The sequence below is a fragment of the Homo sapiens genome, chromosome 19, assembly GCF_000001405.40.
Source record: "Homo sapiens chromosome 19, GRCh38.p14 Primary Assembly".
In the NCBI taxonomy this organism is placed as follows: domain Eukaryota; kingdom Metazoa; phylum Chordata; class Mammalia; order Primates; family Hominidae; genus Homo; species Homo sapiens.
In genome coordinates this window covers 38,701,440-38,729,166 of record NC_000019.10, presented here as the reverse complement: position 1 = coordinate 38,729,166, position 27,727 = coordinate 38,701,440, and the positions used below count along the sequence as shown (strand labels likewise).

General features: G+C 58.4%; 1 protein-coding gene and 1 long non-coding RNA gene across 8 annotated transcripts in view, besides 6 other annotated features; one reads left to right on the top strand and one right to left on the bottom strand.

Annotated features, from left to right (window-relative positions):
* The window catches only part of ACTN4 (actinin alpha 4), an 83,941-nt gene that overhangs the window by 2,423 nt on the left and 53,791 nt on the right, over positions 1-27,727 (bottom strand). For 2 of the 7 annotated variants that reach the window (NM_004924.6, NM_001440299.1), the window contains exons 4-20: positions 24,147-24,233; positions 23,036-23,123; positions 20,972-21,050; positions 19,691-19,772; positions 18,825-18,910; positions 14,606-14,698; positions 11,851-12,081; positions 11,093-11,240; positions 7,479-7,629; positions 5,445-5,553; positions 5,090-5,230; positions 4,828-5,010; positions 4,602-4,736; positions 3,264-3,443; positions 2,064-2,210; positions 1,141-1,221; positions 13-171 (exon numbers count right to left, since the gene is read on the bottom strand). In NM_004924.6, the coding sequence (NP_004915.2) occupies positions 13-171; positions 1,141-1,221; positions 2,064-2,210; positions 3,264-3,443; positions 4,602-4,736; positions 4,828-5,010; positions 5,090-5,230; positions 5,445-5,553; positions 7,479-7,629; positions 11,093-11,240; positions 11,851-12,081; positions 14,606-14,698; positions 18,825-18,910; positions 19,691-19,772; positions 20,972-21,050; positions 23,036-23,123; positions 24,147-24,233 (2,180 nt within the window). Of the gene's footprint in view, positions 1-12; positions 172-785; positions 852-1,140; positions 1,222-2,063; positions 2,211-3,263; positions 3,444-4,601; positions 4,737-4,827; positions 5,011-5,089; positions 5,231-5,444; positions 5,554-7,478; positions 7,630-11,092; positions 11,241-11,850; positions 12,082-14,605; positions 14,699-17,805; positions 17,892-18,824; positions 18,911-19,690; positions 19,773-20,971; positions 21,051-23,035; positions 23,124-24,146; positions 24,234-27,727 lie in introns of all 7 variants that reach the window. The other 5 variants (NM_001440296.1, NM_001440300.1, NM_001411143.1 and 2 more) reach the window with 5 other exon arrangements.
* LOC107985291 (uncharacterized) lies at positions 811-27,243 on the top strand. The gene is made up of 2 exons (XR_001753937.2): positions 811-979; positions 27,003-27,243. It is a non-coding gene; the product is annotated as an uncharacterized LOC107985291 (long non-coding RNA).
* Positions 1,655-2,538: an enhancer, noted in NCBI's record as "H3K4me1 hESC enhancer chr19:39217269-39218152 (GRCh37/hg19 assembly coordinates)". NCBI's record gives its function as "activates a minimal SCP1, AML or CMV promoter by ChIP-STARR-seq in naive H9 embryonic stem cells {active_cell/tissue: H9 hESC(naive)}" and the evidence as "EXISTENCE:reporter gene assay evidence [ECO:0000049][PMID:30033119]".
* Positions 9,811-10,531: an enhancer, noted in NCBI's record as "H3K27ac-H3K4me1 hESC enhancer chr19:39209276-39209996 (GRCh37/hg19 assembly coordinates)". NCBI's record gives its function as "activates a minimal SCP1, AML or CMV promoter by ChIP-STARR-seq in naive H9 embryonic stem cells {active_cell/tissue: H9 hESC(naive)}" and the evidence as "EXISTENCE:reporter gene assay evidence [ECO:0000049][PMID:30033119]".
* Positions 10,566-11,411: an enhancer, noted in NCBI's record as "H3K4me1 hESC enhancer chr19:39208396-39209241 (GRCh37/hg19 assembly coordinates)". NCBI's record gives its function as "activates a minimal SCP1, AML or CMV promoter by ChIP-STARR-seq in primed H9 embryonic stem cells {active_cell/tissue: H9 hESC(primed)}" and the evidence as "EXISTENCE:reporter gene assay evidence [ECO:0000049][PMID:30033119]".
* Positions 20,577-21,363: an enhancer, noted in NCBI's record as "H3K27ac hESC enhancer chr19:39198444-39199230 (GRCh37/hg19 assembly coordinates)". NCBI's record gives its function as "activates a minimal SCP1, AML or CMV promoter by ChIP-STARR-seq in naive H9 embryonic stem cells {active_cell/tissue: H9 hESC(naive)}" and the evidence as "EXISTENCE:reporter gene assay evidence [ECO:0000049][PMID:30033119]".
* Positions 23,783-24,552: an enhancer, noted in NCBI's record as "H3K27ac-H3K4me1 hESC enhancer chr19:39195255-39196024 (GRCh37/hg19 assembly coordinates)". NCBI's record gives its function as "activates a minimal SCP1, AML or CMV promoter by ChIP-STARR-seq in primed H9 embryonic stem cells {active_cell/tissue: H9 hESC(primed)}" and the evidence as "EXISTENCE:reporter gene assay evidence [ECO:0000049][PMID:30033119]".
* Positions 26,162-26,662: an enhancer, noted in NCBI's record as "H3K4me1 hESC enhancer chr19:39193145-39193645 (GRCh37/hg19 assembly coordinates)". NCBI's record gives its function as "activates a minimal SCP1, AML or CMV promoter by ChIP-STARR-seq in primed H9 embryonic stem cells {active_cell/tissue: H9 hESC(primed)}" and the evidence as "EXISTENCE:reporter gene assay evidence [ECO:0000049][PMID:30033119]".

The following is a 27,727-nucleotide window of genomic DNA, read 5'->3' as shown; positions in this document are numbered from 1 at the left end:
GGTCTCGCTCACCTTGTCCCCTGCTAAGACCTTGAAGGAAGCGATGACCTGGTCAGCCGTGTCCGTGTCGGTGGTCTCCCGCGACATGAAGTCGATGAAGGCTTGGAAGGTCACAAGGCCGCTATGGTTGGGGTCGACCAGGCTCATGATGCGGTTGAACTCGGCCTCACCCTGCAAGGAGAGGGTGGGGTGGGGGACACCCGACATTTAGTGGGGCAGGGGCAGCCAGGCCCACACTGGTGGGGTCTCCAGGGAAACAGCCGAGAGAGTAGGGCCCAACCCACGTGTGCGTGCGCCCTGTTCCCCGCCTGCTCCAGCAGCCTTGGCCCCGGGCAGAGCCTGCCACTGCTCCAGCTGACCCAGGCCTCCAAGCCCCCAGTGCCCCAGGCCGGGAAGCAGGGCCTCTCTGCACCCTCCCCTCTCGTGGTCTCCCACAGCAGGGAACTGGGGTCTACTGCCCTCAGCCCAGGCTCACGAGTAAGCTCTGGAGGATGGGGAAGAAAGAGAGAAAGAGAAAGAAAAAGGGGAGAGAGTGGGAGAGCTGCCCCCTCTTTCTGGAGACTTCTAGGGAAGAAGGGGGGCTCGGGAAGTCATCGGAGGGACCCCACCCCGGCAGATGCAGCAGAGGAAGAGGCAGGCACGGCTGCGCTGCTCGGGCGGAGGAGTGTCCCCGAGGACGAGGAAGCTCTGGAGGCGGTGAGGGGGAGAGGTGGGGGGGAGGAGGAGGAGGAGGAGGAGGAGGAGGAGGAGGAGGAGCGGGTGGCTGGGGAGACAGAGCTGCATACCAGGCTGTATCCTGTGGAGATAAGCAGAGCCCTGAAGTCATCGGAGTCCATGCTGCCTGTCTGCTTCTGCTCCGAGGACGCAGGCATAGCAGAGGAGGCCGGGCCCAGAGTAGGCAAGAGGGGCCGCCCCATGTGCACAGCAGGCAGACAGGACAGTGGCGGGGAGCAGGGAGACAGCGGCCCCAAGAGACCAGGTAAAAGGGAAGGGGTCCAGGGAGATGTGGGCAGGGAGGCAAGAGAGCCATGAGATGGCACACAGGATGGCAGGGGTGGGATGGCGAGGGGAGAAAGAGAGAAGGAGAGAGAGAGAGAGAGCAGTTAATGCCATGGTCCGCTGGGGCCCAGGGTGCAGTACCTGCCGGTCGTTCTCCACGTCGTAGCCCAGGCTGATGAGGCAGGCCTTGAACTCCTCGGGCCCCAGCGCCCCGCCATGATCCTGCCGGGGCCATCCGAAGGCAGGTGTGCGGGAGGGGCGGCGTGGAGACCAGGATGAGGGATCGGGGTCACATGCAGAGGGCAGGGGGAAGGGACACGTAGGGGAGGGAAACACAGAGTTAGAGGCAACATGGACAAGGAGATGGCCAGGGACACGTGGGGTCGGGGGCGGCACGGGCCCCTTTCATCCTTTCCCCAACCTCGGAAGCTCAAAGGAAGGCAGAGGCCTCCCCGACCTCTCTGCCCACAGCAGGGGTGGCAGCTGGATGCTACAGAACTGAGGACAAGTCCCAGGACTGGTGGAGGGTCGGGGGGGGGGTTCTCCTTGCCTTTGGGATTTGGAGTGGGACAGAGGGGACTGTATCCTGTCCTGGGGGCGCCAGGTGCAGAGCTGAGGCTGCACACTTCTCAGTCCGTCAGCCCGGCAGGGGTGGGCTGGGGATGGCAGCAAACTCTGGCGCTCAGGGCCCCTCTGATGAGGCTGCCGGACCAAATCTGAATTCTAAAAGCACTGTGCGGGGTGTCTGTGTCCAGGTTCACAGACCGGGTCGCAAAGCCTGGGTGTGCTGAGACTTCATCTGCCCTGGGGGTGGTGAGGATGCCACCCCAGAAGGCAGGACTTGGGACCTCCGGCCCCCTGCCTGTGCGTGTGAAGTGGCCCAGGCTGGGGTCTTGGTGCCGCACACCTACACCCTGACAGTGGCAGGGCCCTGCTGGCCCTGGGAGTGGCGGCCGACGCTCAGCAACTGTGATGGGAATGGACGAACAGATGCAGAGACGAAGGTGTGGGCTGGTACGGCAACGGCGGGAGGGGAGAGGCCGAGGAGGTGGCAGGCTGCTCACCTTGTCGAAGTGGTTGAAGGACGCCCGGAACTCCTGCATCTGCTCCTGGCTGATGCCCTTGGCGTCGCGGGTGAGGATCTGGTTCTCCACCTCGTTGATGGTGCGGGCAATGGTGGTGAGCAGCTGCTCCCAGCCCACGCGGATGTGCTGCGGAAAGACGGGGGCGTGATCGTGGGCCGGGTGCTGTGAACTGTCCTCACCGTGGTTCACACGTGGAGGACTGTGAACTGTCCTCCCGCCCTGGGGAAAGCCCCTGCTCTCCTGTACACCTCACAGGGGACACGGGCCATGGTGCCTCCCTGCTGCCTCTGCCAATGTCTGTCTCCACAGTAAGTGTGTTTCCCAGCTACAGGGGCAGCAGAAGGGCAAGGACCCATGAATCTTGTGCCGGGATCCCTGTGGAGACTGTTTGGACAAACTCTGGTCAGTGTCTCACCACTGGCTCTCAGGGGAAAAAAACAAAAAAGCCAACTCTGGTTTGAAGCATCTGTGGACCTGTATGGGTTGGATCAAGAGTGTCCAGTCTTTTGGTTTCTCAAGCTACCAATATGACGGCGACCAGCTTGTAATGTCCCCGGAGTGTTAGCCAGTGGGAGCTGCTGCCCTGACCCGGCACCCGCTGGCTGGCTCTGGCCCTGAGCAAGGCTGATACTGCTAAGGCCACAGGGCAAACGGTGCCCTCTGTGGGCCCCTAGAACAGCTTGTCCTGTGAGGGGCATTGTCATGGTGATGAGAGCAGTGCTAGGGAAAGTGTAATTTTTAAAAATGTCTAAACATTTTGATCTAGTCTTTTCAATCTTTTTTTTTTTTTTTTTTGAGACAGAGTCTGGCTCTGTCACCCAGACCGAAGTGTGGTGGCATGACCTCGGCTCACCTCAACCTCTGCCTCCCTGGCTCAAGCAATCTGCCCACCTCAACCTCCTGGGGAGCTGGGACTATAGGCATGCACCACCATGCCTGGCTAATATTTTCATTTTTTGTAGAGACAGGGTCTTGCTATGTTGCCCAGGCTGGTCTTGAACTCCTGGGCTCAAGCCATCCTCCCACTTGGCCTCCCAAAGTGCTGGTCTCTTCAATAATTTTTAAACAGAGTGAAAAACAACAGACAGCAGACAGCTATCTTCTCACTGGCCCGAACCATTTCCAGTGAGGAAGCCGGCCATGCTGGTGGAAAGGCCAGCGGGCGGGGCAGCCGCGCACCTCCATGGTATAGTTGGTGTGCTTGTTGTCGAAGATGAGGGCCTCCTGGATGAGCTGGTGCTGCTGCTCCAGCAGGTCCAGGTTGGGCTTGTAGTCCACGATGCTGCGTTCATACTGCTTCAGGTGGCTCAGCTGGTCCTCCAGGGTCCCGTTCATCTCAATGGAGATGCGCCCGATCTCCTACGGGGGTGGGTGCAGGCGGTGGGGTGAGGCTGGTGGGCCTGCCCCCACTGACCACCTGGAGGAGCCCACTCGCGCTGCTGGCCTGCATCTTCCCCGGGGCCCCTTTGGCCTGGGGCCTTGGCCCATGGGTCCCTGGGAGGGAAGGCCCACTGCTCACAACTGTCCCCTCCGGTCCTGCCCTCTCATGTTAAAGCAGCTATGACAATGACAGGGAGGTTTTCTCTGCCAAGCGCTCCCTGTGCCCAACTTCATTTTACCCTTGACCTCTCTGTGAGGCCAGGGCTGTGGCAGGCCCTGACTGCAGAGGTAGAAACCGAGGCTCACGGAGGACAGCTCAGTGCTGTTAGAGGCAGAGTTGGGATCTGAACCCTGGCCTGGCTGCAGCTCCTGACCTCGGGCACTCCATGTCTCGGCACCCACAAGTCCACATGCTGCGTGGCTGGCATGAACCTCAGGGCTGACCTGCCTGGCACCCGGACCCCCTCTCAGGCTTGCTGGGTTTAAACGAGGTTGCCTGCTGCCAGCCTGGTTGCCTGGTATGTAGTGAGTGCTCAGTGAGTGGTGGTCAGAACTGCTGTAAGAATGACAGCACTCATGTGGCTGGTTAGTTGGTGCAAAAAGCATTTGTTGAAGTAATAAGGTAACTGTTTTCATCCCCATTTTAGAGCTGGGAGGACAGGATCAGAGGTTCAATAGTGCCTGAGTCTCACAATCATCAGACCAGGGCATTCAGGGATCAAACCCACCTCCCATAGGTAGCCCACTAGAGACCACAGGGTCTCGCTGTCAGGCTGAAGTGCAGTGGCATGATCGTAGCTCACGGCAGCCTCGACCTCCTTGGGCTGCGCACCATCATGCCCAGCTAATTTTTGTATTTTTTGTAGAGTTGGGGTCTCACTATGTTGCCCAGGCTGGTCTCGAACTCCTGGGCTCAAGCGATCCGCCCGCCTCAGCCTCCCCAGGTGCCGGGATTCCAGGCGCAAGCTCTGTGGACTCTCCTAACCCCGCAGGGTGATCACGGCCCCTGGGTGGTGAGAATTGGGACCTGCTCTGCCAGGCGCCTCAGTCTGCAGGCCCTGGGCTGGCCGGGGACCCCCTCACTACGGGAGCTCTCTTGGAACCTTCTCAGCTCTGTGGGGCTCAGCCGTGCCTCACCTCCATCTTGGTCTGGATCCAGGGCCCCACAACATTGGCCTGGCTGGCGAACTGGCGGCGCAGGTGCTCGTTGGACTGCTGCTTGCTCTGCTCCTCCAGGAGGGCATGGTCCCGTTTTGGCACCAGCTGCTGCACCTGGCAGAGGAGACGCGGTGTGGGAGCGGTCAGGGAGGTGGCCCCCAGCCCCGCCGTCCTGCCCCAGCCCCTACGGATGGCCCCGGCCCACCTTCTCCCACTTGGAGTTGATGATTTGCGGGGTGACGGTGGTGTAGGGGTTGCTGCCCGACAGCTTGATGTGGTTGCTCTCAGCGATCCTCTGGGCCTCCTTGTGGATGGCCAGGATGGCCTCGCGCTCCCTATCGGCGTCCGGCAGGGTGGACTTGAACTGGTCATGGGCTGAGATCAGGCCCTAGGGGAGGAGCTGGAGTGAGGGGGCGGCCCAGCCCCACAGAGGCTCTTGGGAAGATGGGGGGCCGGGGGGTGCGAACCTCAATCTCCTCGATGGTATGGACGATGAACATGTCCTGGAGGTCCTCCATGGCGCTCTCCATCCAGTTGTTGAAGGGGGCCGCGCGCTTGGCGTATTCCAGGTGCAGCTGGTCGATGGCCTCCAGCTGCTTCTCTGTTTTCTAGTGTGTGGGAGGGAAGGGGGCAGGGACAGAGGGAAGGCAGGTCAGTATGTGAGCAGGAGGGGTGGGGAGGGGTCCAGAGGGCCCTGAGGAGTCAGAGAACATCCTCTCCGTGGGAGGTGGGGGGAGCTCACAGGTCTGGACACTATCCACACCACCAGCCCCGGGGCAGCAGGGGCACAGAGCTCCGTGGGTGATGTCACCCCCTCCTCACCTCCAGGGCTTCCCTGCGACTATGTGTCAGAGAGCCGAGGGCGTCCCACTGGTCACAGATCTTCTGGCACCGGGTGTTGACATTGTGGGAGTCGTAGTAATCCAGCTCGCTGCGGGCCGGGCAGAGAGCAATGAGACTCGGCAAGGGCAAGTGGCTAGATGGATTGGACCCATCTACCCCCAAGGTTCCCAGGCCAGGGTGTTGGGGCAGTCAACATTCCAGGATATCAGCAACCAATCACTAATTGGTCAATCAAATCACAGCTTGGTTCTGGCCCATGGGACCCCCAGGGTAGAAGGGAAGGGGTGATAACAGAGCTGGTTAACAGGTGATAACCAGGGGTGAGAAGGGAAGCGGCTTCCTCCTGCTCACCCATCCCTGACTCATTCTGCCACTATCAGCTAAGAGTGTGGCCCTTCAACCAGGCCTTGGGGCCTGAGGAGGGGTAGGGGGCAGGGAACGACTCTGGGGAGGAACAGGACATGGGGAGCAGGCGAGCCAGCCACAGACAGCGGACAGGGGCTGAGGCTGTGCTCCACAGTAGGGCTGGGGGCCTGGGCTCCATTCCCATCTCAACCACTCCCTTGCTGTGTGACCCTGGGCAAACCTCTTGGCCTCTCTGTGCCTCGGTTCCCTCAGTTACACAGTTGCTGTGGGGATTAAATGAGCTGGTACACATAAAGCCCTGAGAGCTCAGTGAGTTTTTGCTATCGCCATTAATCAGTGCTCAGCAGGGCTGCCCATCCGGCTCATCCTGGACGGTCCACAGGCCTCTGTAATTCCCCCTCAGCAGAAAAGACAGGACCCGGACAGCCCTCCCTTCCGTTCCTTCAGGGCTACCGTCCAGAGAGCTGCTTCGGGGACCGCCTGTTCCTGAGCAGAGTAATGGGTTTCACATAGCTTTGCCCAGGGCCTGAGAAGGGGGCAAGCCTAGGGTTTATTTCAAGTCTGTTTCCTACCAGCTTCCAGGGGCTCTTCCGTCACTGGGGAAGCTGCCTGTGTCCCACCCCCACACCCCCGAGGGTGCTGCATCTGTGACCTTGCTCTCCTTGGCCTGGACGTGGTGGTGGCAGGACCCCTGGAGTGCCCCAACTGTGCCAAATGCTGTGATGGCCCCACGGGACTCTTGCCTCTGGCTGAGCCAATGGGGAACCCTCAAAGCACCCGGACAGTAGTGGGTAGTGAGTCGGGGAGGAAACCAGCTCTGCCCAGCATGGGGCTCCACTGGGGCATCAGGGCTGGGCCTTGGACTCAGGAATAAACGGGCCTTGGACTCATAGGAATAAGCAGACCTTTGGGGGTGACTGTGGTGGGGTGGGGGTGTCGGTGGAAAGAGCAGTTATAGCCAAGGATCCTATTTTTGAGCAGATGGCTATTTTGGGAGCCCTGCTGCCCCTCGAGGGCCTGTGGATTTTCCATGAAGTAATGGCCTGGGCCTCCTGCTGCCTGGGCCCGCCCTGCTGCTGGCCGCTGCACTGGTGGAATAAGGCCCCATTCACCAGCGCGACCCTCAGCGTACTAATTGTGTACACAAGTTTATCTGACTGGGTGGGGAGGGGAAGGAGCCCGGCTGCCTGGAAGCTCTTACAATAAGTGTATTCTGAGCAAGAAAGGGAAGGGGCCGAGCAGAACAATAGGCTCACTGTGCAGCCTGGTTCCCTCAGGGACCTATGGCTGGGAGCAACGGAGGCTGGGGCCCATCCCATCAGGGGACCAGGGCCTACTTGGGGTGGCCAGGAGAGGTGACACCCCCAGGGACCCCTAAAGCCTGAAGAATCAAGACAAGGGGCCAGACACCTCCCTCCTGCTAGAGAATCCAAATCCTTCAGGTGTCCCACCTGGGGCTGAGACAGGATGGGCAAAAGGCCTCATCCCATAAGGCCCTTCCCTGGCTTCTGGAAGGAGGTGCAGTTGGGGCACTGGGGACCCTATTCCAGGCCTTGAGGCAGGCTGGGCCTCGGCGTGCTGCCGCCACCAGTCTGGGCAGGCTGTGGTGAGAGCCAGGTGATGATAGTGTCCTGAGCCCGCACGTACTTGAGCTCCTGGGCAATGGCGGCGATCTGCTCCACGCGGTCCTGGTGCGCAGCCAGGTCGCTCTCGAAGGCCTCGTGCTTGCGAATGAGGGCTTTGATGTCCGATAGTGTGGCCGTCTCGTAGTCCCGGTGCTTCAGCATGGCTTCCTTCCCTGGTAGGAGCAGAGAGACGCTTAGACCACAGCACGGCAGCTGTGGGGCAGGAGTCTGGAGGGGCTGTCCAAGCAGAGGGAGGGAAAGAGAGACTGTGGACCCCACATCCTTCCATGCCAATGACAGTGGCATGGAAACTTCCAGAATCTTCTTCCGTACCCTCCAGGGATCTCTAAGCCCAACTGTAACCTGGATGGACCTGGATGGACACTTCAGGGTTGCTCAGCCTGAGAGAGAGATTCCATCTCAACCTGTGTGTCCTAAACTTAGCAACTTTTGTTAGTAGGAAACCATACAAATCGGGCCGTGGTAGCACGGCTTAGAAAGGTAGCACCTGTTTCTGGAGGGCTTTGATCCGGAGAAGCACCCGGGGTCAAAGCCCATGTCCCAGCAGGCTTGGGGAAGGGGAAGCATCAGAGCCAGCTTCTTCTAGGACCCTGACCCTGCACCCGCACAGGTGGTGGTCCTCTCCACGTCTAAGTGCCCCACGCTGTCCTAAGGTGTCCTGTGTGCATTGGGGCGGGCCCACCATCAGGCCCTTTAAAGGAAAGGAGGAACGCTGTTATTAGTCCCTGATCCTGGCTAATTACACATCCCAGAACCAAAGCTCAAGGAAGCCCTGCAAGCAAGTGAAGGTCTTTAGGGAACCGCAGGGAAAATGCCAGCCTGGGAAGGTGGCTGCACCCCAGCTCCTACAGGGGCCCTGCCTCAGGCACACCACCTTGGGCTTCCCCCAAGTGGTAGCGGAGATCCCCTCAGCTCTGTCCCAGCACCTGACAGCTGCCCGCCCAGTGCAGCCACCGAGGCCTCTCTGGGCCTGTGCCTTCATCTGTAAAATGGGGCCAGCCCCAGTACCTGTGTGGCATGGAACTATTCTCAAGTTTCAGTGAGGTGGTGTTCGAGCACAGCAGGCATGGAGCCAGTACCAGCCTCACCTCAGCCTCTCCCAGTCTCAACTGTCAGGCACCTACCAGACTCCCCACAGGATCGGCTCTGGCACTGATGGCCAAGAAGTGGGAGGCCTGGGAGACTCTGGCTCCACCGGCCCTGCTGCGCAGCCCTGGGGCAGGAGGCTCAGCCACAAGGCGGCCTTGCAATTCCCTTCTCCAACTGCTTTCTCCCAGGGGCAGGAACCAGAAACAGCAGGTGACATCTCCCTCTGCCTCCGCAGAGTCCTGGCAAGGGTGCACCGAGAGGATGTGGGCAGCGGACCATTGCCACAGCTATCTGGGATCCAGGCCAAGGGACAACTGGAGTGGGGACAAGGGGTCGTTCGGGGTTGGTCGTATTCCCAGGAAATCAAGTCCCTCAGAGAAGCATCCACGACGACCCTCCCGCTGCGGGCTGTGGGGGATGGTGAGGGGTGTGGAGTGAAGGTGGCCCACCCACCCCAGGGCGGAGGAGGCCGCTACGACCAGACCCTGGGGTGTGGAGGGCCTGCCTGTCCTGTTTCACGTAACTGCTACTTGAGAGGACAGAGGCTCTGAGTCTTGGGAATTAGTAGGCCAGCCTGCCTGGGGGCTCTGGCAGACGCCATGGGCAGACCCGCGTGGATGCCCAGTCAGGTAGGGGTGGGGCAGGGACGTGTGGAGGCCGCTGAACCAGCTGGGCCCTGGCCGGAGACTGAGCTGGCTTCTAAACACCTCAGGTGAAGGCTGCCCCAGAGCCCTTCCCAGGGGAGGAATGCCAGTGGGGCCACCACACCCAGCCCCTTGGCCTCAGGAAACCATCTGCAGGGCCTCATGGAGCCCTGTAGAGGGACTGAAGAGCTGATGGGTGGGCAGAAAGACCCCCAGAAGGTTCAGCCACAGGGCGACGCCCAGGCCTCCATGGATAAGGACGGCTGGAGCCACCTGAGCTGTCTGTTGAACGAATGAGTGAATCCGGGAATGGATGGAGGCCACCAACCACACAAGATGGCATCGGTGCTAACACGCTCTCCTCACATGGGTGCCTTTCTGCCAGGCAAGAGGGAAGTGCGGCACCCGGCCTGGCCAGGCCCTTCCTCCCTCACTATCCACTCTCTCACTCGCACTCTTTCCTGGTAGCAAAGGGGCTGGGCTGCTCTGAGGCTGGCAGCTGCCGCGGGAATGGCGAGCTGAGCTCATGTGAGGAGGGCACAAGCTGGGCCGTGGCCAGGGCTGCAGGCCGTGTGGAGCTGCACACTCGCATGCGGGCCAGGGTGGGGAGGGGTGAGAAAATGCACTCAGGAATGCAAGGAAGGGCTCAGCTGGGCGGAGTGGCGGCCGGAGGGCCAGGGAGACTGTGTTGGGAAGGTGGTGGCCAGAGTGGGAGAGGAGTCCTGTGAGTGGCTCTTGTGGCTCTCCCAGGCACTGGCAGCTTTCTGAAGGCTTCCAGACCCCTGGGATCTGAAATCTCAACCTTGGCATGACCCAAAAGAGGGCCAGGGACGTGATGAAATCCCACATCTGGAGCCAACGGCCAGGCAGCTGCAGGGCTGCCGAGAACAGAAAGCACAGTGGCGCTCCTGCAGGGGGAGCCAGGCCCGGGAAGGAGGCTCTGGGAAGGGATGGGAGGTGGGAGGAGCTCACAGGTGGGCCATGCTGAAGGGTGGGCCGAAGGCAGTGGGTGAGCACTGTCTGAGGGTGAGCACTGGCTGTGGTCCGGCAGCAGGCCCAGGAGGCAGGCCCTCCTCTAGCCTGAGGGACGTGCCAGTGAACATGGGCTCCCCAGCCTTCCGTCCACGCTCACAGAGGTGTGGGAGAGGGAAGCCGACTCTGAACACAGGGTGCGGGGGATGGAAGAGGCCTGCCCCACACACTCGCCCTGGATGGGGAAGACACGCAGAGGGGACAAACAGATGGGTGTAAGGTCACTTCCCTGAAGTGCTGGAGGGGGCTTGGCTGTGTTCCTGGATGACTGACAGGGTCCCACCTCTGAGGCGAGGGCAGACTGGGCAACAAAGAGGACCTGGCCCCTGAATGGTCCCTGCTTTCTGGGGCTGAAGGAATCCAAAGCAGCATTTCTTTCCTTTTTTTTTGAGACAGGGTCTTGCTCTGTCACCCAGGCTGGAGTGCAGTGGTACAATCACGGCTCACTGCAGCCTTGACCTCCCTGGCTCAATCAATCCTCCCACCTCAGCCTCCAAAGTAGCTGGGACCACAGGTGTGCACCACTATGCCTGGCTAATTTTATTATTCTAAAATTTTTTTGTATAGGCAGGGTCTCGCTATGTTGCCCAGGCTGGTCTCAAACTCTTGGGCTCAAGTGATCCTCCTGCCTTGGCCTGCCAAAGTGCTGGGATTACAGGTGTGAGCCACTGAACCTGGCTCTAAAGCAGCATTTCTGACACACACACATGCTCCCAAGCAGCAAGAAAGGGCACCTGAGAAACAGACCCAACGTGGCAGGGGGCTGTGTGTGCACACCCATGCATGCCTGAGAGACAGGAGGGGAGCACGGGAGCGGGGCTGGGCAGAGTGGGGCAGAGCTGGGCCGTACCGTCAGTCCAGGCCTCGTGGATGGAGGCCTTCTGCCGGAACTTCTCTGCCAGGTGGTCGAGCCGCTCCAGCCTGCGGATCTCATTCAGCAGCCACTCCTCGTAGCCCTTCTCAGCCTGCTCCAAGTGCTGCCAGCCATTGTTGATGTCCTGGGGCAGGGCAGGAGCAGGCAGGGCTATCACAAGGAAGTGGAGGCACCCAGGGGGATGTCTCCAAGGGATGCTGATGGGAAGGTGGCAGAACTTGGCTGGGGTCATGTCTGTGTCATGCTTTGCTATTATACCTGGATGCCTACACAGGGCCCCCCAGCACTCAGCAGGTACAATCAATTCTGGATTAACAAAATGAATGCGTGAACGGGTGAGTGCATGAATGAATGGATGAATACCATAGATGGGGAGGTGGTACCGTCCAGGGCGCACTGCCCCTCCGCTGATGAAGGGCCTCAAGCACATGGCGGTCATGCCATCATGGCAGACCACGGCTCCAAATTCACACCACTCCACACCCACACAACCCGTGGCAAGGATTTGGGATGCGTATAAAACCCTGGGTGTAAAATACAGTGAGTGAGGGCCAAAGGGGAGCACAATGCCGAGTGAAGTGCACCCCTCCCCGACCACTGCATCCGAAAGGCCATGCCATGTCCCACAGGACATCAACAACTTAGGAAAGATTACGCTGGCCAAACTGCCCACAGGCAGTTCTAGGGCTGCCTCTGCCCCTCACAGCTGCTCCCATGTGAATCCTGGTGCTCACCGAGACCATCTTGCCCTCGGAGGGCATGAAGGCGGGCCGGTTGCTGAGGCGCAGCTTGGTCTGCAGCGTGTTGAAGTTGATCTCCAGCTGGCACTTCTCCTGCACCTTGGGCGGCTTGTGCACACGCCGGTAGTCGCGGAAGTCCTCCAGCTTCTGCTGCATCTCCTGGATAGTCTTTTGGGGCACACGGTCCTCCAGCCAGGGGATGGTGCGCCGGATCCACTCCAGGAGCTGTGGGCCACAGAAGCCAGCGTGGCCTTTGTGGGGGACCCTCAGAGTGCTGACGGGCTGCCCCCCAGCTTATGGGCACATGGGATCTGGATCTTTGAGGGCCCCACCTTAGGGGGTTACCCCTGCTCCCCAGCCCAACTTCTCCACGATTCCTGCTAGAACCCCCAACCTGGAACTCTGGGAGCGTGGGCTCCCTCCCTGTCCCTGCATCACTGTACTGTTCTCTTGTTACTTCCTGTTCCTGCCTGTGCTTTTCTTTTTAAAGACAGGTTCACGCTTTGTCACCCAGGCTGGAGTGAAGTGGCATGATCATAGCAACCTCCCGGGCTGAAGCCATCCTTCCACCTCAGTCTCCCAAGTAGTTGGGACTACAGGTGCCTACCTCCGAGCCTGGCTGATTTTTATTTTAAGTTTTTATAGAGAAGGGGGTCTCAGTATACTGCCCAGGCTGGTCTTGAGCTCCTGAACTTCAAGCAATCCCACTTTAGCCTCCCAAAGTGGTGGGATGACAGGGGTGAGCCACCATGCCTGGCCCATGCCTTTGCTCTTAGTCTTTTCCCTCAGGTCTAAGAGGGGAAACCTCCACTCCCATGCCCCCGCCAAAAAGGTCCCTTTCCATGCTGTCACATGCCCCACTGCCGCTGTCTTCACTGAGCTCCATGCTGAGAGCCTGACTGCTTCTGGGCTCACTAAGTGCCTCAAGGGCAAGGCCGACAAGCCCACCTGGCTCAGTCTGGCTAGGCCAGTATGTGCACTGGGCCTGGGACATAAATTAGAAAATAAAATTGAAAAAGAAACAAACATATTCTTTTAGGAACTACTCAGATCTTTAATGGAGTGAGAAAGGGTAACAAACAGTTGGACATTCTAAAACAATTCTAGGCCAGGCACGCTGGTTCACACCTGTAATCCCAGCACTTTGGGAGGCTGAGGTGAGTGGATCACCTGAGGTCAGGAGTTCAAGATCAGCCTGACCAACATGGTGAAACCCCATCTCTACTAAAAAAAATACAAAAATTAGCTGGGCGTGGTGGTGCGCGCCTGTAATCCCAGCTACTTGGGAGGCTGAGGCAGGAGAACTGCTTGAACCTGGGAGGCAGAGGTTGCAGTGAGCCAAGGTCGTGCCATTGCACTCCAGCCTGGGTGACAAGAGTGAAACTCCATCTCAAAAAAATAATAAAACAATTCTAGAAGTACAAAATCAGTTATCTGCCAGCACGGACAAGCTGGAGAAGTGGTTCCCAAATGCCAACTTCTGGCAAAGTGAGAAATTCAAAGACAGAAATACCTCTGTGTGGATACATTGTGAGGCGTGCTGCCAGCTGCCCTTTCTTGGCAATGGCTGGGGTTCTAAGAATAACCTTTTTACCTTATCTTGGTGTTAGAAGTGCTGGTGGTAACAGATGGTAGTGTTTCTTTTTAAAACATCCGTAACTTGGCAAAATAAAAAGCTGGCCCTCTTAGGTTGGACATCCAATAGTTTTTCAAATTTTCCTGGTCTATGAGATTGCAAAATCTGGGAACCACTGGTTCTAGATGAGCAGTCAAACCACTGCTCTTTGGGAAATTTTATTTTATTTTATTTTTATTTTAATGGAGTCTTGCTCTGTCGCTAGGCTAGAGTACAGTGGCGCAATCTTGGCTCACTGCAACCTCTGCCTCCCAGGCTCAAGCGATCCTCCTGCCTCAGCCTCCCAAGTAGCTGGGACTACAGGTGTGTGCCACAACACCCGGCTAATTTTTGTATTTTCAGTAGAGACAAGGTTTCACCATGTTGGCCAGGCTGGTTTTGAACTCCAGACCTCAAGTGATCCACCTGCCTTGGCCTCCCAAAATGCTGCGATTACAGGTGTGAGCCACTGCGCCCAGCCTACGTTTATTTTTTAAATATGGAGATTTCAAAAATGAAGAGCCTCCAGAAGAGTTGTACTAACCACCCTTATTTCCAACTGAAGCATTGGGTTTGGACTCTAGAGCAGGGCTGCCTGGGTGAAGCCCAGCTCTCTGTCCCACTAGTCATGTAACAGCAGGCACGTGCCTGACCCTCCCTGGGCCTCAGTTTCCTCACTTGGAAAGGAGGATAATCCGAGTTCCCGTCTTGCTGGGCTGCTCGTTAAGCACCTGCACAGGGCCTGCTATCCTATTGGTTCCCAGGCCCCTCTCCATCCTTCTGAATCACTCTCTCCAGGGCCAGGGCACGGGAAGAGGGGCTTTCACAAAGCTCCCCAGGTGATTCTAAAGCACTGAGGTGCCCAGGAAACACTGTCCCTGAGCATCTCTGTAGGAACCCAAGCTCGGGAGCCCAGGGGCTGGCTGGCAAGGTGGCTGCCGGTCTGACCCTTAGCCTTGTGGAAGCAAACGGAGAGGTCGTGTACACACCAGCTGGCTAAATGCCATGGTCTGTGACCACGCAGCCTTTTCTAGGTCATCTCGCTGCCACACCTGCTTTCCCCCTGCAAGAGTCACAGTGACCTCTGGCTGAGGATAATGAGGTGGCCCTGACTTTCACTGGGGGAACACTCACGTCGCTGGCCAGCTTCTCGTAGTCCTCCATCAGGTGCTCGTTCTCTTGGTTGACAGCCAGCACCTTACAGATCCGGTTGGCGGCAGTTTCAGCCTGGAGGGGAGCACACAGTCAGGGCTGCCTGGGGGCTGGCCACCCTCCCTCCTGACGGGCACGTCCCTTGAAAGCAGCTGGTCCATGGCCCACGGAACTCCTCACAGAGGGGAAGGAGAGGAAGCACAGCTCCAGTGAGATGGTGCCCTGTCCCAATAGGCCTTGTTGGCATCCTCACTGCTGACTGCAAAATGCCCCTGGGTCCAGAAAGCCCAGACCCTGGAGGCACCGAGGAGGGTTGGGGAGCCCTCCCACTGCTGCTCGCAAACCCTCTAGTGCCCCACACAGAGGAGGGTGAGGCTGGACGGGTCGGCTGCGTTGGACCTAAGACTGCGGAGGAGTCTCTCCCGGTGGGAAGGTGAAAGGATGGGAAGCCGAGAGCTGGAGAGCTGGGGGCAACAGAGCAGGGGCGCCCGGGTCCCGGAGGAGCCTAGTGGTCCGTGCACAGGAGCACACTCAGGCCTGTCCACTCTCCTGCCTTGGAGGCAATGTTAATAGGAGCTCCAGAGGACAGAAGTCACCATCCGTGGGGCAGAAAAGTGCTGGGGCTTTGGAGGGTGAGAGTGGTGGACATAGTCCCTGGGCCTGAACTACAGGAGAGCGTCCTGCCCTGTCCTGCTAGGGGGCAGTGAACAGTGTAGAGGAGGCAGGGGGTGCACACGGGGAGAGAGAGACCAGGTACCTTTCAGGAAGCACAGAAAGGGTCCAAGAGGAGGAGTTGAAACGGCAACAGAACAGGAACAGAAAGAGTGAGGAGGGTCTACAGAGTGATGGGGAAGGAAAATGGAGAGGCTTGGCCAACGGCTCAGAGCCAGTGCTGCAGGCAGCGACGCCCAGCCTCTCCCCTCCACACATGGCACCTGGAGACAGGCGGGGAGGCGGCAGCCGGTGCTCGTGTGAGCGCACACACGCACGTGCACACCCCGCGCCATGCTGCGGGACACACACCCAGGGCCCCAGGCGGTGCTCCTCAGAGATGAGGTCCAAGAGGTTCCTCAGCCAATGAACATGGGCCCCAGGCCAGTGTGGAAAACACAGCCAGGGCTGCAGCTTGTGGGGGTCACAGAGGTCAGTCCCTGACTCCTAACTTGGCAGAGACAACTGGCACCCGAAACTCAAGTCCTCTCTGTGAGCACGGGGCTGCCGCAAGGCAAGGGAATCATGTTTCACCGCTGAGTTCCCGCATCCAGCTTGGGGCTCAGTGCACTGGCGGTGTTCAGGGTTGCTGAATGAGTGAGTGAATAAAGGAACGAGGCGGGAACGCTTCGGTGACTAGAAATAAATGATCTCAGGACAGAATGGGCACACTGGCGCTAGACCTGGGGTTCACTCTGCGTTTATAAAACATGAACCCCAGAGAGCACTCTTGCAAGAGCTTGGACTGGGTCTCTGGGGAAACGAGGCAGCAGGAGCAGCACCACGGGGCTGTCCTGAGGAGCACACAGGGACCCAGCACTTTCCTTTCTGACCAGCCAGCGCCCTGCAGCCGGGCCTCCACTACCCCCTCAGAGAGGGGCCAGTGACAAGCCTCCAGGCCCAGTGCCTCAGCACCCACCCATACTGTCCTGGGCTTGCCTGCCAGTCCCTGCTCCCCCAAAATCCCTCAGAGCCTCCAGACTGGAGTTCAGCCCTAAGCACAGGGGAGCAGTGTGGGTAGAAAGAAAAGCAATCTGGTGAGGCCATGTGGTGGGCAGGGGGCTGGTTCGGGGCCCGTAGGGGTGAGTCCAATGGCAAACATGCTGTTAGTTGGGGTCTGTGGTGACGAATCGTCCATTGCTGCTGGTCCCTGCCCACCCTCCCGCGGGAGTGTGGGTCAGGGGTCCTCCCTCCACCCTCCTGGCCCGTGCCCTCTAGCAGAACACTCCAAACACAAGCTCCAATCGCATGCTGAGGAGGTGAAGAGGCCTTTCTGGCCCGAGGCTGGGAAGAACCACACTCCCCACCACTGTGGCTCCCTGGCAGCTGCCTAAATGGCAGCTGCCGTGCCAGGCACTGTGCTAAGCCCTTTGCCTGCAGGAGCTCGTTTCACGCCCAGAACAATCCTGTGAGACCGAACTACAGCGATGCCCATTTCACAGGTGGGGAAGCTGAGGTCAAGTGACCCACCCAAGGTCACAGTACCAAGAGGTGGCAGAGTGGGGCCAGGCCAGACTGACGGTAGGTAATGCACCTGCTAGTTGGGAGGCTCAAAGCAGGGGTCCACAGAAGGTACGGCCCCCCCCTTCTAGTTTTAGGAATAGCTGTTTCCCTAAACTTCAATTCCTCCTCTCTCAAATGGGGCTAACTGCGCCTAGCCCTCCTGGGGGTGTGCACAGGGACCCTCTGGAAGCCTGTGCATGTGAAGGCCTTGGAGGGTGCCTAGCGTGTAGTACATGTTCAGTAAACAAGAATCGATTCTGCCTCCTCCTCTGAACCTGTGCCAACTGCTGACACTTCAAAGCAGGCATCGGGAATGCTGCCTGAGATACTTCAGAGACCACAAGGCAAGCGGGGGGAGCAGTGCTTGGGCCTCTGCGTGAACGCTGAGGGCCCGGCAGGAGCTGTGAGGCAGCATGAGGTCAGCTGGGCCCAGGAGGGCGGCCACTGCCACGCAAGCTCTGTGGGCTCTGCCTGGCCTCTGGAGGGCTGGGACCGTGAGTGCAGGTTGGGCTGCACATGCTGAGCCTTTCCTGGCAGGAAGGAGCTGCAAAACGGGTAAAGCCCAGTGCTCCCCACGAAGGGCTTGGCAGGGGCAGGCAGGCAGCCCTGGTGCAGATGATGGACAGGGCGAGTGGGAACGCCGGGCAGTCAAATCCCAGCTCTGCCATTGACTGTAATGCAGGGCTTCAGTTTCCCCGCCTGAGAGCCTAGGATGCCACCACCCACCTCCCAGGGTGGGCTGTGTTCAAACAGAGGTCTGTGACTCCTCAGCACAGGCCCAGCACCGGCCAGGCGGGAAACCTGCCCCAGGGGACCTTCCGAGTCAGAGGCCGGCAGGGTCAGTCTGTGTGGTGTGGCGGCCCACGGCCTGGCCAGGGCTCCAACCACAGATGGCCAGCGGTGATGCAAGGGCGGTGGTGAAGGCAGGTCTGCAGCCCCAGCAGCGAGGTGTGCCTGGCCCAGCTCACCTTCTGAGCCCCCGAGAAAGCGTGGTAGAAGCAGGACACGTAAGTCATGATGGCCTTCTCATCTGGCCTCAGAGTGCCCACAATATCTGCACAGAGAGAGAGAGAAAGAGAGAGAGAGGCAGGAGAGAGTGAAAGACGCAGGGAGGGCGGCCGGGCCGGCCTGAGGCTCATGCAGGAGGAAGAGCACTTGCTCTGGACTGGAAGCCAGCCCCAGGCCTGCGTGGACATGCCTTGCGGGGTTTTGTGGAGTCCGAATAGGGTGCATTCCTTTTCTAACCGGCCTGGGCTGGAGACAGACTAGCTGTGGGCCCTATAAAGGCAGCTTTGTTTTGGGTTGGAGGAGTCAGTTGCTAAATGATCTGTCTGAAAATGTGAGTGAGCAGCTCCCACCACGGAGTAAGACCCTAAGGGGCTCCCATGGCCCTCAGAGTGGAACATGAATTTCTTATCCCACACCACAAGGGTCTTGTTGGGCCTGACCCATCACTGCGTGTCACTCACTCCTCTCTAGCTGGTCCCTGAATACGCCAAGCTTCTTCCTGTCTCAGGGCCTTCGTAGTGCTTCACCCTCTGCCTGGAACACCTGTGCCCCAGCCTGCATCTAGCAGCTCCTGCTGCAAGTACCTGCTCACTTCACCCCTCCACATTGACAGCACCAGCTGAAGGTCACCCCAGCCATCTCTGTCCCCCATCTGGCCCCATTTTCTCTATTCCACTCCTGTGACAGGCCTGCTGTATGTTTCTCCCACTAGCATGGAAGTGCCCTGAGAACAGGGACCTTGTCTGACTCAGTCACCAGGGCATCCTCAATGCCTGGAAAAGCCTGGCACAGATGAGGTACCCAATAGGTGTGTGAGCTAAGGCTGAGGGGGCAGCAACGCCAGGGAGCTGGGGGTGGCTTCCAGTTGGAGAGAGGCCACTGCCGTCTGCAAGAGAAATGAGGTGAGCACGGGAGGCGAGAGGCAGCGGCGGCATTGCGCGGTGGCGGCGAGGAGGGCCTGCCTGGCCCTGCTCGGTACCTTCTGCGCTCCTGAAAAGGCATGGTAGAAGCTGGACACATAGGTCATTATGGCCTTCTCGTCGGGCCGGGCCGTGTTCACGATGTCTGCAAGTGAACAACAAGGGTTAAACTGCCCGAGTAGGGCGGGGGGTGGAGGCGTCACTCACTGGGATCCACGGGCTCCCAAGGCCACGGCCTTGGGGGAGAGGGACCTGCAGAGTGACGCGTGACTTGGGTGGGCTCAGCCACACCCTCAGCCCCTCCCTCTCCCATGGGTCTGGAAAGGACAAGGCTGTGGGAAGCGGATTAAAATGAGGCCACTTCCTCTCTCTGAGAATGGCCTCAAGGAGCAGCAGGACAGTCAACTCCAAGGGCCACCAGAGGCCAGAGACACAGGTCCCAGCTGGGGCAGTGCATGGCTAGGAAATGGGGCAGTGCATGGCTGGGAAATGGAGCAAAGCCGGAAAAGGAAAAAACAAAACACTCCACTTTGTCGGGCTCCATACTCCATGCCTGCTGCAGGTAGGGAGGGAGAGGCCAGGGTTGCTCGCAGGAAGCCTGAAGCACCCCTCCTCAGCCACCTTGCCCTTCCTGGGCCCTGAGGAGATGCACCCTCAGGAGAGTTGATCCTTCAGCTCCCCCTCCCCATACGCTTCTTCATCCCTGAAGGCATCTGGCCAGCCCAGGCTACCCTTGCTCTGTCTCCCAGGGCGACATGGCTGTCCCCAGTTCACCCAGAATCATTCAGCCCTTCTTGCTGGCTCTGCCAGCTCCCCAAGGTGACCCAAAGCTCTGATGTGCCCACAGCCCCTTGCCCGAGGCCAGCCCTGGACAGAAAAGGCCATCAGGAAGCACAGTGGTGGCTGAACAGAAGAGATGACTTACCCTCTGCATCCAGCATCTTGGGGATGTCGAGGTATTTCTCAGCCACTTCGAAGGCATTGTTCAGGTTGGTGACAGGGTCGTCCTAGAAGGAGGCAAGTGGGGACAACAAGAACTCCGTCAGGGCAGGGTGCAGGAGCAGGAGGGAGGCAGGGCTGGCCCAGAGGGAGAGACCCGGGAGGGCGAGGGTTGGGGGTTTCTTCAGGCAGTTCTCAGCCACGTGTGATGTGTGAGCGGGAGGGCACCGCCTGGATAAATTCAATTCCCACTCACAGGAGTGCCTCGTGAAATCTTTGTGGGGCAAACCAGGGCTTTTTCTCCAGAAAAATGCAGGTGTACTCTTTTCATACAATTTCCAGCCACCCACAGACCCTAGCTTAAGCCCCTTGCCCTAAAACCTGGTTTTCACATTGACTGGAAGATGTGGGCCAGGCCTGAGAGAGCACTGGGGACTGGGTAAGGGGAGCAAACCGAGAGGTCCCAGGTCCCAACCACCCTAAAGTGTCCCCCAGCCCCCTCACAGGCTCCCCACTGCTTACAGGACTAAAGCCCACTGCACTCCAACTCTCCCTGGCCGGGGCCCAGCTCTCTTGCTCACTGTGGCTGGAACGGGCTGGGTGCCATCTGGTGCCTCCCCCAGGAAGCCCTCCTCTGGCTCTAAGCTGCCTCTTCTTCCGGGACCTTTCCTGGCTCCTGCTCGCTCGGGGTACACTAGCCTCCTCCGCAGCACTGATCTGACCCCATGCCCTGCCACCCCATTCAGCCTGAGCACATGTACACGGCCTGGTGTGGTGCTTTGCTTTGGACACAATTTTTGTCCTGCCTTCCCCCACGAGGCTGGCAGCTTCTGGTGGCCAGGGCCTGGATCCATACAGGCTTTGTACAGGCAAATGACAGCAGGACCCTGCATGGGCAACATGGGCTTGTGGTGATGGTTTGGAATTCCTTGCCCTCTGCCCCTTTGGGCAGAGGAGGTTCTAGAATCCAGAAGATTGAGGAAGGGGAGTTATAAAGCATGGCTGGCCAGGCCCTTAAATAACCCCGGGTTGGTTGCAGTGCCATGGAGGGAGACTGGACAGTCCACGAGGGGAATAAGGGAGGTGAGAGTCAGCCACCGAGCCAGGGGTTGCGGAGAGCCTGCACAAGGCTCTCCCAGGCTGCCCATCTGCGTGCAGAACCCAGATCTGGAGGCTGGCGATGGAAGGGCATGGGGATGGTGACCCGGAGTTAGGGGGTCAGACAGGGCACGTCTGTGGGCCATCAAGGGGAGCTGGAGACACTCACCTTCCTCAGCTTGTCATACTCAATCAGCTCTGGTCTGTGCCGGTGGATCAGGGCATTGAAGGCAAGACCATCCTTCCAGCTGGGGAAGGAAAGGCAAAGGTTATAGGAGGGCCCGCTCACTGTCATGAGAGTGCCGTATGGCCCTGTGCACCCACAGCAGTGACTAATTCCCATTCACTGCAGTCTGGCCTGTGCCAGGCACTGCATGGAGACAGTGTGGCAGAGAGGCTGCAAGCATGACCTCTGGGGCCAGGCAGTCTGTGATCAAATCCTGACTCTTCTGCCTACTGACAGTGTGACCTCGGGTAAGCCAGGCTATCTCGGTTTCCACATCTGTATGATGGGGATAGTGACATACCTGCTACATAGGGCTGTTGTGCGGATTAAATGAGTAAATGCTTGGATCAGTGCCTGACTCCTGACAACTGCTTTATAACTGCTAGCACCTTCCATGGGAGGCCGCCCTGAACCAGACAGGCCGCTTCGGGGGAGGTGGCCACTGCAGGATGCTGGTGTTTGTGCTGTGTGGCCTCCACACCCTGGCGGACCTGACTTACAGGAAGGCCAGTCCGTGGGCTGGCTAAATGCCAGGATTTCACTTGGCATGCTGGTCTCTGGAGGAAAGAGACCTTCCCCAAGGCCACAAGTTGGTCAGTTACAAGCTATATGGGTCACATTCTCCTCCCTGAGACCCTCTAAGGGTTGGTTCCCTCTGAGGTCAAGCTCGATGTCACCTCCTCAGAAAGGCCACCCAGGGAACTTTCTTCATCTGACTTCCCTGTCTTTGTGCAGCACTTCTCACTGAAGTTATGCTGCAGGATTACTGGCCGCTGTGCTAACAGCTGGTCCCCGCGCTGTGGTGTAAACTTCCCACAAATGGGAACTTTGTTTGGGTGCCACTGTATCTCCACTAACGGCATGCAGCGGGCATGCTAGATACTTACTAGTTGAAGAAAATGAATGGAAACTATAGAAAGATTCAGTCAGTTAGTGGCAGGAAAAAAAAGAAGACACACAGAGAAGAGTGACCAAGGGAGGGACCACATGCTATCAGGGTGAGCACGATGGGAAAAGCCCTCTGTACCCAGCAAGGGTCCCAGAGAGCCTGAGGCCGCTGCAAACCCCATGAGGCCCTGCTCTTCATTCCTGTGCGGGCCATCCAGGAGACTCAGAGGGTGGAGCCACAAGGCAAACCGGATCTGACCTCAGGACCGCCCCCAGAGCCAGTGCTCCCAACCACCAGGCAGGCCTGCCTCTTGCCGCCCCCTGGACCTCATGCGGCAGTGCCCATGCTCGCCTCAGCTACGGGGATGGTGGACATGTCTCATCTCCCGCTCACCCTGAGGGAAGCAGGTTCATGGTGGAGCTGAGGCTTGTTCATCTTAGCAGCCACAGAGTACATTTTTCCCCAACACTAAATTTACTAGCAATTCTAAAAACAATTCACTCCTGAGCTGTCAAAATAAAGGAAGAGGCCAGAGGCAGGCAGTGGCTCACATCTGTAGTCCCAGCACTTTGGGAGGCCGGGGTAGGAGGACTGCTTGAGCTCAGGAGTTCAAGTCCAGCCTGGGCAACATAGGGAGACCCTGTTCCTACTAAAAATAAAAATTAAAAATTAGCCAGGTGTGGCTGCATGCACCTGCAGTCCCAGCTACTTGGGAGGCTGAGACAGGAGGATCACTTGAGCCTAGGCCAAGGCAGCAGGGATGAGTGATCACACCACTGCCCTCCAGTCTGGGTGACAGCACAAGACCCTGTCTCAAAAATGAAAAGCTTTATTGTTGCTTCTGAGAGTCACCTTGCCTGGGGACGAAGAACGTTCTATTAGGCCGGCGAGAGGGCTGACCTTACTGCCTTCAGCCAGGATGGCTGGGAAACTGCCTCCTCTTCCTCAGAGAGGACCAGGTGACCTTCCCATGGGCTTGTAGGGCCCGTGGCCAGGGAGGGGCTGACTGAGGGCTGGCATCTCACAGACCACGACAAAAACACAGCAAACAGGGCAGGTGGGAGGAAGGATCTCAGGTTCCTAGAGGAAAGGAGAGGATGACCAGGACTGGCGCTTACCTGATGTGGAAGTTCTGCACATTGACGTTCTTATACGGGGCTGTCTTTCTCTGGCACCAGAGAAGGAGCCCTTCCTTGGCCGAGGTCTCTGCAAAACACACAAAGACAGTGAGCACTGGCTCAAAAATAAACCCTCAGAACTCAGCCCAAGTTGGATGGGACTTTCGGCTCAGGCCTGGGGTCAAACGAAACCCAAGGGGAGAGGATATCTGTCCTAACAACAGCAGCAGTGATAGCAGCGGGACAGCCACTCCCATTCCGGATGCAGACGGATGCTGCCAGGCCCAACTGCCAGGACACACGGCCCTGCTTAATCCTCACGGCCCCGAGGAGAGTCGCTTGACCAGGGCTGCCCCAGGAGGTGGTGGTGTCAGGGCCTGAATCTGTGCCATGTGCCTGGCCACCAAGCCTGTGCCTTTCACCACCAGAACACACTGCAGACAGGCCCTTGATACCGGCCTTGGCCTCTTTTGAACAAGGTGAAATACCAGCTGTAGAGAGGCCTAGGGGGCCCTTCTGTTCCCCGTGGATAGCTCGGCTGTCCTCACAGACCGGGAGCCCTTCGAGGGCAGGAAGCACATCTCTCCCAGTCATCACTGCGACCTGGCACCTGGGAGCCCCTGCACGCTAGCCCAGGTGGCTCTGCCCATCCTGTGTGCACACAGGTGCTTGCAGGGAAGCGAAATTGTCCATTCCTGGACGGCCTGAGCTCATAACGGGTCCATGGGGGCCAAGTTTCAAGGATGGGGATGTCAAGCAGACAGAGAACCAGGCCCAGGCCCAACTCTCTCACTAGTCTGTTCTGGGACTTGGGTTCCTGGACTGTAAAACGGGCCCAGCCATCCTAGCCCATCTCATGAGGGTGGCGTGAGGGTCCACTGAGATGAGGCTGTGAGAGCAAAGGCACTCGGAAGGCACTGGAGCCAAGAGGCAGGCAGCTGGGAGGAGCCTCCCTTCACCTGCCACCCACTGACTACCCCTGCAAGGGCCAGGCCCTGTGAGTGACCCCAAGGAAACAGGAAGAGGCTTGAAGCATGAAGATCACACTTCAGCTCTCCTCTAACCCGCCCTGACTCAGGTGGGAAGCGGGGGCAGTACAGGTGGCTGTCACCTTCCACGGAGATGTCCTGGATGGCGAACCTAAGGATGATGGTCCAGATCATTCCCAGGGTCATCTTTGCGTTGCCGTCCACAATCTCTGCACACAGGGAAGGGGGCAGAGGGCAGAAGGTCGTTAAAACCAGAGTGAGGCTCCTCCGCCCAACCTGAAGGTGGCCTTCCAGCCCCATCTAGAGAAAGGCTCCAAACCACCCCCTGGTTGCATCTCCCAGGCCTGTCCTCCTCCACCTCCCTCAGGAGAAAATGCAGGGAACAGTCTCTAGGCAGCACTGTCCCAGAGCCTCCTGCTGCTGAGCGCCTGCAGGCTTCTGGCCACAAGGGTCCCTGGCCCCGCAGCCAGCTCCTTCTCCTGACCCAACTCAAAAAACCGCTCCTCCAAGAGGCTGGTCCCAGGCGTGTGGCCTCTGTTCACACCTCTCTCAACTCTCAGTGCTCTGTACATTTCTGCCGTAATCTGCGTACCTCCTGACTACAGGGGGGCACCCCGGGCCCCCACTCTCAGGGCAAAGGTGGTCTTTTTCATCTCGCAGTCAGCAAATGTGCACTACATTATTGTTTATTGTGAATCTGTCCACTTCCTTCCAATCCTACTGCCGACACTCTCCACCAAGCCACTGTCATCTCCAGAGCTCAATGCGGCTGCCTCCTATGTACCCTTCCCGCCCATAATCCACATCGACACAGCAGCGAGCATGGTTGGTTTCCTTCTTTTGAGACAGGGTCTGGCTGGCTGGAGTGCAATGGTGTAGTCATAGCTCACTGCAGCCTTGACTGCCTGGGCTCAAGCAATCCTTCTGCCTCAGTCTCCCGAGTAGCTGGGACCACAGACGCATGCCACAACATCTTGCTAGTTTTTAAACTTTTTGTAGAGGCTGGGTCTTATTATGTTACCCAAGCTGGTCTCAAACTCCTGCTCAAGTGATCTTCCTGCCTTGGCCTCCCAAAGTGCTGGGATTGCAGGTGTGAGCCACCATGCCTGGCCCACAGGGAAAGGGCTTGCCCTGAAGGCCCAGGCCCTGCCATCCTGCTGGAATTCTCTAGCTGCATCCTCTGGGCAAGCCAGGCTCTTTCTTGCTTTGATACGCTCTGTCCACTCACAAAGCACGCCCCTAGCCTGCGACCCTCAACTGGCTGGTCCTTCTCATCGTGTAAGCTTCTGCTTGTGTCACCTCTCGTGGTGGCTTCCCTGACTGCCCGTCCCAAGGAGCTCCCCAACCCGCCACCCAGTTCCTCTCCCTGGCCCCTGTGCTGCCCCAAGGCATCACTAGTGAAATCACATGTTGGTCGGGCTGTTTACTTGTTCACTGTCTGCCTGCCCTCGTGAGGGCGGGGCTGCTCTGACCACCACTGGATCCAGTGCCTGGAAGGCCAGTGAGGAACAAGCATGGCTGCTGTGTTGTCAGGAAGGGGAGAGCACGGGCCTGAGGCCAGACTGCACGCTTTCTGAACTAACCTAAAAACAAACATTTGCGGCCGGCTGTGGTGGCTCACGCCTGTTTAGTCCCAGCAATTTGGGAGGCTGAGGCAGGTGTGGATCGCCTGAGGTCAGGAGTTCGAGACCAGCCCGGCCAAGATGGTGAAGCCCCGTCTCTACTAAAAACACAAAATTAGCCTGGCGTGGTGGCGGGTGCTTGTAATCCCAGCTACTCTGGAGGCTGAGGCAGGAGAATTGCTTGAGCCCGGGAGGCAGAGGTTGCAGTGAGCTGAGATTGCACCATTGCACTCCAGCCTAGGTGACAAGAGTGAGATTCCATCTCAAAAAAAAAAAAAAAAAAATTGCTGAAACTTCTCAAAAGAAGGGCTTGGACCACACCTTCTTCAGCCTCAGTAACTTAAGAGAAAAATCATCTCTGCAAGGCCCAGGACAGCTGTGTGTCTGCGGCTGGGTGAGAGAAGGCAGTGCCTCATCCCAGAGTCCATCAGCCAGCCGTGCCTAGGGCAGTCCTCCCAACTTGTCAACACGCCATATGCAAGGGGCATGATGGAGTGGCTTCCAAAGAAGACAGAGGGGCGCCACTGCTGCAAGCACTCTCGGGGAAGGGCTGGGCACAGGGGTGAGTTCCAAAGCTAACTGCAGAGCTGGAGGCCCAGGACACCACAGGAGACCCTGCTCACTGACCTCTGAGCAGAATACTCCAGGGCAGGCTTGCTTGGAAGCAGGTGGAGAGGTCACAGAGAAGATGGGGCTCACCTTCCCCCGGGGACACACCCAGAGGAAGGGGGTGTCCATGAGCCACAGCTTTCGGGTTTTGAGAGGAGGAAATATGCTCATTCTGCTGCCCAGAGACAGGGGAGGGACCCAGTGTCCACCCTGTCCTAGGGTTCAGAGCCCCAGACCCAGAAACTGAGCAGCACCACCTGCCCCTTAGTGCAGCGAGGCAGCTCGAGCCTCAGGAAATCTATTCTGTGCACCTCCTGAGGGCCGGGCCTGCAGAGCTGGGCAAGGCCGCAGCTCCCCGGCTCAGCAAGTACAGGTGCAGCTGGTAACGGAGGGCTTATGGAGTTCCGGTGAGGAGAGGAGGATGGCGTTTCTCATGACACATCCACCAGCTGCTTCTCTGACCTGCAGCTGTGCCTCCGGCCCCTCTCATCACCCCCACGGGAAGCCAATGCTCCCGCGAATGCCCAATCATGTGGAAGGACAGGGGGACAGGGTGGGGCGGGGTTCTCAGGTGCCTTGAGCCCCAGGAACGCCTCCATTAGGCTTTGTTCCAAGGCCCCACAGTCACAGGGATTGGGAGTGAACCAATTTGGGCATGAACAGAGAACATTTTTAGACCAAGTTTTTCTCCAAATGAAAACTGATGACTGACATGGGTCTCTCCTCTAACCCCTTCTGTATTTACAGACTAGCATTTGAGCAAAATAAATGCAGCTGTGAGAAGCAGAAGGCTGGAACAGAGCCTGGAGGAAAGACCCATGCAAGGACAGAAAATCTCAGGGCCTGACTGAATTTTTGGGTTGTGATTTTTTTAAACAAACACCAACCACCTCGACTGTGGCATGCAAGGCTTGGCACCCCTCATCGCAGAGGTCCTGGGCCGGGGCAGAGCCTTGGAACTCAGCACACACATTCTGGCCCGGAGTCTTGGCCAAACTCTCAGAGCCCTGTCATTAACGGCAATTAGTTTACTTTGTTTTTCTAGAAGCTGGGACAACATGGATGTCAGGGTGAAGAAATCTTACTCTGACTAATGAGTGGACTGCGAGCTCATGCTGCTGGGGCTCCATCAGGCCTCGCCTGTCTCTAAAAGCGCCTGGGAGCTCAACCCAGGGGCCCCTGCTGAGAGCCTGCTGCTCTAGTGAGGGCCTGCAGGTAGTGGACTGTGGTCCTGGTTATCTACGTGGGGCCCAGGAGGATCCTGGGGTGGTCAGAGGCAAAATTCTCCAAGCCCATGCACACAGGGCAAAGTCTAGGCACTGACCTTTGGCCGTGCACTCCCTGTCCCAATGCCTGACATGGGGCCTCCAGTCCTTCTCTGATACCGGGCAGGGCATAATGAGAAAGGTGTTCCTGGTACAGAGAGAGGCCATGGCACATGTTTGTCACTGTCTGCTGAGCCTGGCACAAGG